Below are 14,546 nucleotides of genomic sequence, written 5' to 3' on the forward strand. Positions count from 1 at the left end.
ACATTTGATTTTCTCTGCTGAGTGTGCCTGGCTGATCTTTTGGGGGTTCAGTATCAGCATCTGCTATCTCCCTGGCATTCATGTGCTGGAAAGGCTGCTTCAAGGAAACAGCTGGAAAAGTGGGTGGCACAGGAAACAGCCTCTTTTCATCTGCTGTGATTTGCTGTGTCTTTGCAGAATGGAGAAGCTGATGCCATGAGCTTGGATGGAGGGTTTGTCTACATAGCGGGCAAGTGTGGTCTGGTGCCTGTCTTGGCAGAAAACTACAATAGTAAGTGGTGGGGAGCACCTCTCTGTGTTTTCTTCCCTCAGGGCCATGGAGAGAGGAGATGGAAAAATCACAGTCTGATTCATACCACAGCTGCCATAAAGCTTTCCCTCTCTGAGCACCTCCTACTTTGCAAGCTCTGGGCTCCTTCATCTCAAATCCCCACAGTCATCTTGAAGGTTGGGAGTTATAGTACATTCCAGAAATGGGAAATGAAAGTTCTGCACTGGGAAGTCCTCACTAAAGATGACCCCATTGCAAAGGACAGCTGGGATTTCTGGCAGTCTTCCAGGTTCCAAAACTCACACTTCTCTCACTGCCCTGTTGCTAGGATTTAAATATAGTTGGCTAGCACGCCTCTGTGGTCTCAGTGCAGACAGAGCAGGAAACTTGACATTCGCAGTTTGTGGATAAATTCTAGAGGCCAGGAGGTGAAATGGACTTGCATGATCCAGAGAGTCTGGACTTGTTGGGAATTGATGACATGTATAGATAATTTTCTCTGACTTTCTTTATTCTTAGCTGCAGCATAAAAAAAAGGCATGGTTTCCCAATCTATAAATCAGGGTTTAATGCCTTTTTCATTTTCTTTTCTCCTGCAGAGAGCGATAATTGTGAGGATACACCAGAGGCAGGTGAGTTTGAATTGGTAACCTCTGGAGTTAAAAGATAAATTCCCATTGTTTTGGGGAATTGGTTAGATTTAAAATTCAAGTATATAAGGTGCTGTAAGAGACCAATTTTCACAATGCGAGAGAATCATGGAAGGATAGTAATGGATAATGATGGTTATCCCTTTACACTTGCCATGGCTTGCACACAGGATTTTTCATTTAATGCTATAAGGTAGGTTTTGGCATCCTCTGAGGATACACAAGTGGACCCTAAGCTGAGGGAGTTTACAGACAGATCGTCTAGGATTATACATCTAGGAAGGGAAATCCAGGTCTTTCCCACTGATCCTCACCTGACATGACATGAGGCCTGCACATTTTCAGATAAGAGTAAGCACCAACCAAGGAACTTTGCTTATTTATTCCTTACAGGGCTCAATAGAGAGCCTCACACAGGCAGATATCAAGGAACATAAAATTATCTGACCTTCTAGCCAGGGCTGGGTCCAGGAACCCAGGCCAACCTGGCTTCTCACCCAGGGCTCTGGGTAAGGGTACATCTGAAGAAACAGAGCAGGAGCAAGTCAGGAAGTCTTACACCAAGGTGAGCACTGGCCCCCTATGCTCAGGCCCCTGCAGGTCACATTCCAGACAGCCATTACTGTACAAGTCTGTCCTTGCCACTTCCACTGATTATAACCTCCCAGCCTCTCCCCATCACTTGGGGAGCTAAGCCCTTCAGCAGATATAGAAAAAGCCATTCTTATTCTATGGATAATAAAGATTCTGTTTTCTGTTGGAAACTGTAATCTGAATTAAACTGGCAAACTGAAATCATAGGTTGATGTTCTATTTCCCATTTTAAGGACCAGTATATATTTGCTGCTGAAAATGGAAGCTGACTTGATATTGACATTTTCCATTTTGCATATTTATTTTGGTATAAAACTATATTCTCCTTATCAGAAAATGTTTGGCTCAGTTTTTTCTCTTTTGCTTATTGATCTTTTACTACTATATCTCAACATATGTTAATTTATGAAAGTTTGTGGTTACATTAGCTGTTTCAGTATCCATTCCTCTGATAGGACTCATTGGATGGTGAATTGCTGGCTTATAACTTCAGTGACTTTATGCACTTAGGGAAGGGTTATACACCCAGCCATTGATCTAATGATGGTGTTTTCACAATATTTTGTTTTTAAAGTTCAGATTAATCTTCTCCTGACAGAGTTCCTTGTACTTCCCCTCAGTCAGATACTGGGAAGATCCTCTCAAGACACAATGACTGATTGAGGATATCTTTGCTTCCCTAGGGAAATTGATTGGAAGCAGACACTCTGGAAGCCCCAGAGGTGTTAATACATCCTTTTCTGGTGTCTTTCTTGTAGGGTATTTTGCTATAGCAGTGGTGAAGAAATCAGCTTCTGACCTCACCTGGGACAATCTGAAAGGCAAGAAGTCCTGCCATACGGCAGTTGGCAGAACCGCTGGCTGGAACATCCCCATGGGCCTGCTCTACAATAAGATCAACCACTGCAGATTTGGTGAGTGAATATTGGGAAGGAGGGCTGGTGAGGGCCATGCCAGAAAGCAGGGTCCTGCCTTAGGGAAGAGGAGTGTGGCATAAGGTGCTGTGGGCTCTGGTTCTAGAGAAGTAGAATTTGGTCAAAGAACAGTAGAATTTGCTGTCCTCAAGGACATAGCAACAAGGGCTGGAAGGACTGGAACTGGGTTGCTGAGTTGGGACGGTTCATTTAGGTTGAACATATTAGCATGAGTGAATATACATTTATCTCTCAGGAGAAAGACCAGAGGTGAGCAGTGCATGGCTGGTATGGTCATGAGAAACCCAGGCTCCTTCACACTTTCTGCTCCTCTATTCTGAGCATAAGACTTCCATCTTCAAGGTCACCCCATGGTTGCCATCGCATCCATGATCCAGGCAGCCCCAGTCACCAAGGGGTTACAGCAAATGGAAGTTTATGCCACCTTTTTAAAGGAGCTCTCTAGGAAGTCTAACCAGTTATTTCAGCAAACTTCTCATTGCCCAGAACTTAGGTACATCACCATACCTAGCTGTAAAAAAGAAATGTAATCGTTCATCTGGAAATGTCCCTACCCCAGATAAAACCAGATTTTTGTTACAAAGTACAAGGAGAAACAGATATTGGGTAGACAGGTAGCAATCCCTGCCACAAGGTTTTGTATGGTATGTGAGTGTGGGAGATCCCGGGTCTCTTCATGGTGTTGGCAATCTCACCAAGTCCCTACCCAGCTCCTAGGACCCTTCTAAGCAGTAGAAATCACCTCATTTTCTATGTCCTCTGAATACCACCAGGTATGAGCTTATTTCTACCCCGCTTAAACTTTTAAGTGTAAGTTCTCCTACAGACAGATGTTTTCCAGTGGTTCTGATTTACATTAGCTTCCTAAGTACTTTGTCCCTGCCACCTCCAAATTTGGGCAACTCTTTAAAAAAGAAAAGGCCTCTAAATCTGGTTATTAACCCAGAAAACCCTGTGGGGTCAGGGAAGTGGTGATGAGAGTATGCCTCTGTACCAGGGTGCTTTGTGACACCACTTAGACATGAAGCAAAGTGTGGCCAAGGTGACATTCAGAAAACTCAGGATCCCCACTGACAAAGGCACTACCTCTGCCCTCCTGAACCTCCTAGCACTTTTATGGCCACAGGAGAGCAGCTGAGCTGCAAAGAAAATTCCCCATCCCTTTCCTGAGGTTGGAGATGTAGCAAAGGCTCTTCTAATGAATGGCAGGGAATGGGGACATCTGAAAACAGGTGGCACAAGCTCAGGAAGCAAGACCTTCAGTCTTCATCTTTTTCTGTTCCCTTTCATGACATTTTTCATCTCTTCTTTGTTTAGCGTAGTGATGACATCATTATTGTGCTCAAATAAATCCCCTCTGCCCTGAATTGTAATGGTCATTAACTCCTTTTCCCAATCTCAATAGGTTCCCCTTTAAAGCCTATAGCCTGGCAAGTCCTGGGTTGGTGGTGGCTGGTCACAGAATTAATGAATATGTTCTACTTATTATGGGCCATGCAGCCCTGTTATCTCTTAAATAAAAGCTGCTTGCATTGACTCAGGAAAAGCTGACTTCCTCTTGTCCTTCTGCACAGATGAATTTTTCAGTGAAGGTTGTGCCCCTGGGTCTAAGAAAGACTCCAGTCTCTGTAAGCTGTGTATGGGCTCAGGCCTAAACCTGTGTGAACCCAACAACAAAGAGGGATACTACGGCTACACAGGCGCTTTCAGGTGAGTCTTTTAACCCTGAAACAAATAGAATAATATACAAGCCCTGGCCAGATTTCTTTTAGGAACTAAGGTAAGATTCTTAGGTTCCTATTCCATTAGTGCGGCATGTATTAAGAGAGTATATTTCACAACCAGATATAGAGCCACATGGGGAGGGGCAGCCAGACTCCCCCAGGATGCTGACATGGCTGTCAAAGACAGCAGAGACTTGTGTTTGGTACAGTTTAGCAGTTGTCAACGGGTGATTTGACCCCCACGGGACATTTGGCAATGTTTGCATATATTTTTTATTGTGACAATGTTGGGGTGGGGGAGGAAGTGCTACTAGCATCTAACACGTAGAAGCCACTAAACATTCAACAATGCACAGGATAGCATGGTACAACAAACAATTATCCAGCCCCAAGTGTCACTAGTGCCTCGGCAATGATACCCTACTGTAGTTGAATAAACACTGAGTGGAGAGTTTGGCTCAAGCTTTTCCATGCACCTCTGGATAATCCAGAACAATACTCATCTGGAAATACAGAATAGTACATGATTCCTAAATTCCTAACTACAATTGTACTTTATGGAGTGCCTATCATTCATTTTCATAGAGATACCTGTGTACCTTGCTATTTTTTTTTTTTTTTTTTTTTTTTTGGAGACAGGAGCTCTCTCTGTTGCCCAGGCTGGAGTGTAGTGGCACACTCATGGTTCACTGCAGCCTCAACCTGCTGAGCTCAAGCGATCCTCCCACCTCAGCCTCCCTAGTAGCTGGGATTACAGGCATGCACCATCACACCCAGCTAATTTTTGTATTTTTTTGTAGAGACAGGGTTTTGCCATGTTGCCTAGGCTGGTCTCAAACTCCTGGGCTCAAGCAATCCTCCTGTCTTGGCCTCCCAAAGTGCTGGTACTCACAGGCGTGGGCCACGTCTGGCCCTACCTTATTACTTTTTAACTACCCATTCTGCTTTAGGCCTTCTGTTATTTGGTGGTTCATGAATCCATGAACTGCACAATGATGATGGTATTATAACTGAGCTTCCCCGTAATGATGTAAAAAACAAAGGTCATTCCTATTTTCCAGTTAGAGCCACTTTGTAAGTTAGATTAAGTACAATTCACATTCCCCAAGTTTCTAATTTCACAAAGTAGAGCATGTTGTTTTCATAAAGATTGAAGAGTTTGGGGGACTTAAAATAGAGTTCCCCTTTGCATTTTTGTACCTTGTCTTTTTCTGGTGATAACATATGTTTGAGAATTATAGGTCATGAGAAAAGGCTCAAATAACATGTATGTATAAACATGCTTAAAATAAATGTGTATAAAGGCTTCTTTTTCTAAACATGTCTTATAAAACTTAGCTATGAAGTAAAATGTACCAGACTGATAAAAAGACTCCAAACTCCAAAGAAAATAAAATTAAATCAATATGTGGCACAATAGGTACCCCGTCTTCTCAGCTAGCTACCCCCAAAACTCTTGAACCGATGCAGTAATAGGCAGGTTCTTTTCCTTGAAGCAAGGGGATTAAAGTACATGGAGAGCAGGGTTCAGTCCATTGTCCAAAAGTCCAACCCACTCGGCTCATTGAGGAGGGCCTTGTGTAGATTTTGAAGTACACACTAGTTCATCATCTGTGTGGTATGCCCTTTCAAAGGACTGGAAGACAGTCAAAATTAAAATTAGAACCCTACTAACCAGAGTTTATTTTGTTATTATTTCTTTTCTGAAACTTCTTGGGGACTTGTAGCTCAGAGCTGTGTTACAACCCCCATTACCACACCCAGAGATATGTGGCCTGGGAGTTAGTAGAGTCAGGTGCCTTTATGCCATGTTTTGCCATATTCTCTGCATTTCTCAAAAACAAAAACAAAAAAACCCACAACATAGCAAATGCTCCATAAATGTTAAAATTCTTTTTCAAAGGAATGAAGGACAGCACAAATTGCAATTTGTGATGGAGTTTCAGTCTCTCACAAATGTTGCCTAGACATTCGCCTTGTATGAGAACCTGAAGGAACTGAGTTTTTCATTCATATGCTGGGGGAGGCATCACCTCACTGAAAATCAATTCCCTACTATCCTTGTTGATGTCAGGGAAATTATGTCATCTCTCAGAGAAACAGTACAAAAAATTAAGATTTAGTATGTGGAACTGAGATTGTAAAACTACAATCAATTCAGAGTGTTTTGTTTTTGTTCTCTTTATTCCTTACATTGCTTACTGTTAGAATGGAAGTTACAGTTGCTGTTTTCAGATGGCTGTCCTGAATCTATAAGGTAGCCCCCTGAATGACAGATAAGTCACTCTGACCGCCTTTTTTTTTCTCTCCCACTTCTGGACCTCTGCAGGTGTCTGGTTGAGAAGGGAGATGTGGCCTTTGTGAAACACCAGACTGTCCCACAGAACACTGGGGGTAAGTGCACCTGCTCCTCTGTCCCCCTAGATCACTAGATCCTGGTCACTGGTATTCACTTGTATTCAGGGATGCCTTTGTGGAAGTATTATGTACACTGTCAGACTTCAAAGCTCTGATTCTCAGTCTGTCTGCTCAGTGAAGAGAGACATGTTCACCTGAGTGCGCAGAATGATCAGGATTATGGGGCCCCCAATGGCCCTAAATCCTCCCCAACACACACTCCCACAGCTGCAAGCCTTGTGCTCCTTTCCCCTAAATACTTCAGTGCCTATTTCCTAAGAATAAGACAATCTCTTGCATACCCACAGTATGATTACCAAGATCAGGATCTTTTACATTATGTGGATTTAATACTCGTCACGTCCACAGTCCACATTTAACTGTTGTCAGTTATCCCAGTAATGCCTTTTATAGCTATTTACTGTACTTCTGGGTTGTGTCCATTGAGAAGGCCTAGAGGCAATGGCATACCAGCAGGAGTAAGCACCAAGATATTGGCTTGTAAGTACTCTTCTTTACTAAAAGGAACCAGAACTCCTTGGAAAAATAGCTGACTTCAGGGCTGGGGCAGGAAAAATAGATGCTGAGCCTAGAACAACACACTGAAGTGCTCAAACAGTGATGGGACACTCAAAGCATACAAGAACCAATTTGAAGGATCTCCTGTTGCCAAGTCTGGGAATTTTGAGCATTAAAATAAATAATGATAGCAGTAAGGGATAATAGCCCATTGAAAGAAATAAGAATGCATGAGGCAATACTGATTAAACAAATGAAGAAGGGAAAACTAATCAATGTGGAAGGAATGATAGAGTTAGAAAACTATCACTTGGCAACCAATATATTGATAACTGATTCAAGCAAGAATCAATGGGTGTTAAGCCGGGCGCAGTGGCTCACGCCTGTAATCCCAGAACTTTGGGAGGCCGAGGCGGGTGGATCATGAGGTCAGGAGATCGAGACCATCCTGGCCAACAAGGTGAAACCCCGTCTCTACTAAAAATACAAAAAATTAGCCGGGCGCGGTGGTGGGCGCCTGTAGTCCCAGCTACTCGGGAGGCTGAGGCAGGAGAATGGCGTGAACCTGGGAAGCGGAGCTTGCAGTGAGCCGAGATTGCGCCACTGCAGTCCGCAGTCCGGCCTGGGCGACAGAGCGAGACTCCGTCTCAAAAAAAAAAAAAAAAAAAAAAAGAATCAATGGGTGTTAACTTGTGGGTGAACGTTGGACAGCCATAATATTAATAAAAACAAACAAAACAAAGCAAAACAAACATTGGCCAGACTGAGCACTCCACACCTGACCCCTCAGTATCACTAAGTGCTAGCAGAGCCCACTGGAATTCAAGCTGTGAATACTTCCCTGCCTTCTCTCATGTTCATTCCCCAACTCCTCACTTTTCCTGGGCAACTCATCCAGAATGAACCGGCTCAGCACCAGCCCCTCCAGGAAGCCTTCCCAGATGGCATACCCTGTCCTACAAGAAGACTCCTCTGTTCATATTGCCATTATGATTGAATTCACCACACTCTGTAATACACTTTGGCTACAGAAACTCTTTGAGCTCTTTTTCTTCATCTTATATTCCCAGAACCTAGTGTAGCACATAGTACACAGCAGTTGCTAAGAATTTGTTTGCAGAAATATTGGGTTGACTAATTTTCCTTTCTTCCCTCGTATTATTGCTTTTTCCTTTAAGAGAGTGTTACCCTAAGCTTGGCTCTTTGCCACCCTTGATTTCTTTTGGTACTTTTCTGAGTAGAGCTCCCTTCTTTAAGCTTTGACTCTCTTACTCTTTGCAATGACTCAAAAATTCTTCCCTCCTGCATAGAATTAAGATAGGAGGCCTGACATCCAATCTCAATTCCATTCCAGTCTATTTCCCAAGGTGTCACTTTTATGTAGAGAGTACATTGGCATTGCAATTGTATTTTTTTACGTGTGTATATGGATGTCCTCATATATTGTAGTTGTATATATACAATCCATATACAACTCAACTGTCCTCATCTTTCTGTCAACGTTCCCTCCTCTTCTCCCAGCCTCTATCCTTATAGAGAATCCTGCTATACTCCCTGCCCATCAGGCCTAGATTAAGTCTGTCAGTCAATATCTTATTTCTTCAAAACGTGTCTTTTTTCAAACTAAATTTTGAAATAATTGTGTGTATTTAAGGTAGACAACATGATTTTTAAGAGCCAAAGTAATTTTGATGTATTGTAAGTTTGGGAACTACTGGTCTAATACCCCTGACTTAATATCACATTCCTGATAAATATTACTAAATGTAAGTCACATCATGTCTGATTCATCATACTTATATTTTGCACCTTCTTACCTTCTTCTGTTATTAATTTGTTGCTTTTTCAACTTATATTTTAGATTGAGGGTACATATGCAGGTTTGTTACATGGTATACTGCATGATGCTGAGGTTTGCGGTATGATTGAACCTGTCACCCAGGTAGTGAGCATAGCACACAACAGGTAGCTTTTCAACTCTTGCCCCCCTCTCTCCCTCCTCCAAAATCTGTCTTAAGTGCTATGGTATATACAAGAAGGAAGACACAAAACCACGTGGGCTTTTTTTTTTTCTTTTTTTTCTTTTTGAGATGGAGTCTCACTTTGTTGCTAGGCTGGAGTGCAGTGATGTGATCTCAGCTCACTGCAAACTCCGCCTCCCAGATTTAAGTGATTCTCCTGCCTCAGCCTCCCAAGTAGCTGGGACTACAGGCGTGCACCACCACGACCAGCTAATTTTTGTATTTTTAGTAGAGACGGGGTTTCACCATGTTGGCCAGGATGGTCTCCATCTCTTGGCCTCATGATCCGCCCACCTCGGCCTCTCAAAAGTGCTGGGATTACAGGTGTGACCCACCGCGCTCAGCCCACATGGGCTCTTTTATCACAATTTGTGTGTGTGTGTGTGTGTGTGTGTGTGTGTATGTGCATATTATAGGTGTGTGTAGGAAAAAGAATGTTAGAAATGTACCAATTTTGAAGGCGTAGACTATGAAATTACAAATGCTTCAAAATTTTCTTCCCAATACTTACGTGGCATTTTATAAATTTCCACCAATAAACGTGTATTATTTTTATTGAAAAAGCATATTTTTAACATGCCCTTCTAGATGCCCTCCTAGCCAGACTGAATCACCTCCCATTTGATTTTTCTTAATTTTCTACCTTTAGGTTCTGGCTCATTCATTAACATCAATTTCCATTCATAAGTCCTCACAAACCCACTTTTCCTCTTGCCTGAGTGCCTCACATACCCTACTGCCTGAGATGGTTCCAGAGGCGGTCTCCTCTCTCCCTTAGAAACACCAGGCACACACCTGCCCCCAGTCTCGCCTGCACTCTCCTTTCCTCCCGCAGAGAGGCATTCCTTTCTCCTCCTCTCATCCTACACACACTATAAGAGACAACTGAAATCTTGCCTCCTCCAGCCAGCTTCTTAATTCATTTGTTCTCAAAGCCCTGGTTTGAGCTCACACAGCATCTAGAGTGTTTTACAAAATATAAAATATTATTATCCCTGCCCTGAATTTTTTGTTTTGGTATGTGTGTTATTTTCCCCTCCAATAAGATTGTGCCTTGGAGAGGGCTGAGAACATAGTATCATAGATAAATGAATAAAATAACATAAAATAAAATAAAAATACATATACCCTTTGAACTAACTATTCCACTTCTATGTAAGCACAATTATATGCCAGTAACACTCATTTTAACGCTACTTTAGTGGCAAAAAATTGTAAACACCTCAGATGCCTATTAAAAGAGGAATGGTTTAAAGATACTATTATAGCCACACTATGAAATATAATACAGTAGTTAAGAAGAACGAGCTTGATTTGTATGTACTGACAAGAAGAATCTATAAGGTATGTAAACAGTTGAAAAAAAAGCTACAGAGTTTTACATTTGTCAAGATCTAACACTAAACAAAATTAGAAACATGTGAAATCCATATACACACGTAGAAAAATACATATAATGAGCCGTGGATGGAAACTCGCAAATGTGATATTAAAGACTAGCACTATAAGACTGAGTGAGATTTGGAGAGTATAGGAAAGGAGGCTTTTAGTTAATATAGAGAGATATTCAAAAATTTATGAGTGTGATCTCATGTATTAGTTATTCGGTTAAAGAAACAAAATTAAATGAAAAATACATTTTTAAAAAGGTTGCAATTCTGAATTATGGGAGAGAAATAAAAATTAGCAAAACATATTTGCAAAGTGGCTCAGGAGGAAGGAGCTGAAACCCTAAGAATGGGTGAGTTTTTTTTTTTTTTCAGAGACAATACAGAAAAGAAGAGGCAAAGGGGCCGAGATGGGATACAGACCTGTATCACACAGGTGTGTGCACATTCTCATTTAGAACTGGAACAAGGGAGTCAGATTTAAAATTCTGGTGCAGATTCCAAAGGTGTTCTCTGAGGAAAAGTTCTTTTGTTTGGAGATGCCATGTGTTACAGCACAGAAATTGATCAACCTGGCTTAGAGCGTCACATTCTTCCTCTGTTGGAGCAAGAGGTACAGAAGGAATTGGAATTTAGTGGAATTGAAGATCTTTTTGAACAGCATCTGCAGAATGTAGTTCATTCTCACCTGGCTGGGTAGGGAAGGTTGGAAGGGGATGGTCAATAATCATTCCTGGTCACTGTGAGTCTGGCATCACCTTGTAGACCACATGGGTGTCTCTTCCTGTCCACATCACTGTAACCCCAGTGTGGGCACTTCTGCTGGCGAGAAGGCCCAGGTTCTCTACACACCACTGAGTCAGTTCCATCTCCCCAGCGGGGCACCTTGACCAAAGCCATCAGCTGAACCACCTTCTTCCTGTCCCTAGGAAAAAACCCTGATCCATGGGCTAAGAATCTGAATGAAAAAGACTATGAGTTGCTGTGCCTTGATGGTACCAGGAAACCTGTGGAGGAGTATGCGAACTGCCACCTGGCCAGAGCCCCGAATCACGCTGTGGTCACACGGAAAGATAAGGAAGCTTGCGTCCACAAGATATTACGTCAACAGCAGGTATGGACCAGCCAGGTCCTCCCACCTTTTCTTCCTAGATGGCCATAGGCTATTCGGGGGGAGTTTACAACAAAGTGCAGCCATGACTCCAGCACTTTCTTTTTGAAAACTAGAATTCCATGCATTGTGCATTTCATGCCATGCATTGTGGACTAGAGTATCAGGGTTCAAATCACAGCTCCACAGCTTCCTAGTTGTGCCATCTTGGGTATGTTACATAACCTCTCTATGCCTCAGCTTCCTCATATATAAAATTGTAATAATAATATTTTTACCTACTTCTCAGTTAACATGAGTATTAAGTGAAGACATGCACCCAAACGGCATAGGAAAATTCCATTTCCTATAGGACGTGCTCAAAATATGTTAGCTGTGTAATTATGGAACTAGACCTCTCAGGCCCAGCTCTGCTTCTAGCTCCTGGTCACTGGTGATTAGATCTGATCCATGTACTCTTGGGACTAGGAATCTGCCTTTCTGCTCCCCCTAACCTTGTTCAGGGGTACCCTCATTTCCCCTACTCCTGTCCTTCCCGAAAATGAAGAAGACAGCTCCTGTTTCCCAGCGCTTGTTGATACGAGTCATGAAGAGTGGATTTCTGTTCCTCTTGCCTAGGCAGACTGAGCACTGTTCTCAACAGTCTGAAAAACACAGGACCCTTGCCCTCGGAGAGCCTGCCCTCTGGGGGAACAACCACTCAGGGCCAGCCTTGTTGAAGACAGGGGCTGCCTGAGTATTCTAATCCTAAAGGCCCCTCCACACACACACATCACCTTCCTTTTGGGCATAGCTGCCTGCTGTTGATTCACCATTACCTTTTTTTAAAAAAAATAAGAGTATATTTGAAGTCCTTTTAAGGTACATGACAATAATAAGCATTTAACATACATTTCCTAGCTGCTATATGGAAAGTTCAACATTTTGCAGTCATCATTTCACTTACAACCTTTGGAGATCTGGAGAAGCTGAGTGGCTTGCCCAAGAAAGGATTCAAAATGCAGTCAAACATGAACTTTTAAGAACTACCTCTGCCACTCCTCTGGGAGGGTTCACATTTAACATCTTCTTTGACAATAACATCTGAAGGGACATGTTATTGTCCTCTCATTTCCTATAAGCAGCCCCCAGTGAAGGGCAATGAAGTGGGGAAGAGAGGTCAGAGTAGGCAGGCATGGGTGTGGGTGGGAGGGACTTATCAGAGGAAGGTGGGACCAGGGACCCTATAGATGATTTTGGGGGCATCATGAAAGCATGCAGCTGGGGCCCTAAGTGGATAAATGGCAGATAAAGGAGGTGGAAAATTCCCAAGACATACTCCGTAGCTTCCCTTTTTCCCCAGGGCTGGTTCAGAGCTTTCAGACTCTTCTCATCCATGTGTTCCCAGCTGCTAAAGACCACAAGGTCCTCACGGACTTTCTGTTCACTTGACAGCACCTATTTGGAAGCAACGTAACTGACTGCTCGGGCAACTTTTGTTTGTTCCGGTCGGAAACCAAGGACCTTCTGTTCAGAGATGACACAGTATGTTTGGCCAAACTTCATGACAGAAACACATATGAAAAATACTTAGGAGAAGAATATGTCAAGGCTGTTGGTAACCTGAGAAAATGCTCCACCTCATGTGAGTAGGAGGAACAGCATGGGGAAGTGGCAACCAAACATGGTGGTGAGTGCTGGGATGGTGGGTGGGTACAGGAGGGGTAGGCTGTGGCCCTTGGGATAGGACAACATGGACAAAATGAAATGGTGAGTGAACAATCTAAGCCCGGCATGTATGACAGGCTAGACTGTAGGGGCAGATAGTAAGGGGATACAGGCTCAGAGCACTAAGGTAGTGAACTTATTGGGTATAGAGAATTCCATCTTATTTCTAAGAAAAGGACTGGGTTTATGTGTACATGCCATTGCTCTGCAGTAAACTTTTGATTAGAGTTGCCTTGTCCAATATGGTAGCCACCAGCAAGATGTGACTATTTAAATTTAAGTTAATTAAAATTAAACTAAATAAAAGATGTATTTCTTCAATCCCACCTAGCTGCATTTCAAGTGCTCAACAGCCACATGTGGCTCCATATTGGTCAGCAAAGAGAATGTTTGCATCATCACAGAAAGCTCTTTCAGACAGTGCTGCTCTAGACAGCTTCAACAATGATAGGTTCTGGTAACCATAAAGTTGCTATGCATACTACTCATTTGGAACACCAGTTTCTGAGAACTGAAATAGAATAAAACACATCTTTGCAGTATAACTATGTTGGGTGTAACTGAGTCACCTGAAAAAGTTTGGAAGCTGGGGAATAACATGTGGTGTAGGGCAGTTAGTCTTTCCACAGGAGTATGCAGATAAGGGAGTCTTGATCCTTATTAAAATGCTGATTCTCAGAGCCTTGAGATACTGATTTAGAAAGTCTGTGCTAGGTCAGGTATCCGCATTTGAAAAGCTGCCCCCATGTAATTCTGACGGAAGCAGCAATGTGCTTGTCTAGGTTCGCTATTGTGAGAATCAAGTTGATATTTACCTAACCTATATCCTCCACAAAAGCAGACAGTCTGGCTCTGCTCTTCTTTCCTCCATCCTTAGCCCACAGCACAGAAACTGGCACATTGCAGGTGCTTTTTGCTATGTCAGTTCCTCACCTGCTTAAAGAGGTCAGGGAGGACAGTCTTCCTGGGCGACTCCTGGCCTCAGGAACTCAGATGTGTGAGCCTCGCCCATAAGAAACAAGGTGGAGGACCCTGTAGGGCAGGAAAATCATGTTAACAGCTTTGGCGTGGGGCACTCCCCAGGATAGGCACAGGAGCTGTGCAGGCAAGTAGAAAAGAGCACTGGGAGAACGGCCCAGTTCACAGAAGAGGAGGCAGCAAGTCTGCACACTTTGTACTATGCTGAAATTGTTCAATCACTCGACAGTTCAGAAATAAATATAGGAAGA

At 42.9% G+C, this 14,546-nt stretch overlaps 1 protein-coding gene across 3 annotated transcripts in view; it reads left to right on the forward strand.

Annotated features, from left to right (window-relative positions):
• Window positions 1-14,546, forward strand: part of TF (transferrin) — a 134,644-nt gene that overhangs the window by 102,007 nt on the left and 18,091 nt on the right. For all 3 annotated transcript variants that reach the window (NM_001354703.2, NM_001063.4, NM_001354704.2), the window contains 7 exons: window positions 178-271; window positions 871-903; window positions 2,274-2,429; window positions 4,025-4,160; window positions 6,504-6,568; window positions 11,429-11,613; window positions 13,045-13,234. In NM_001354703.2, the coding sequence (NP_001341632.2) occupies window positions 178-271; window positions 871-903; window positions 2,274-2,429; window positions 4,025-4,160; window positions 6,504-6,568; window positions 11,429-11,613; window positions 13,045-13,234 (859 nt within the window). The remainder of the gene's footprint in view (window positions 1-177; window positions 272-870; window positions 904-2,273; window positions 2,430-4,024; window positions 4,161-6,503; window positions 6,569-11,428; window positions 11,614-13,044; window positions 13,235-14,546) is intronic.

Source organism: Homo sapiens, chromosome 3 (assembly GCF_000001405.40).
Source record: "Homo sapiens chromosome 3, GRCh38.p14 Primary Assembly".
NCBI lineage: Eukaryota > Metazoa > Chordata > Mammalia > Primates > Hominidae > Homo > Homo sapiens.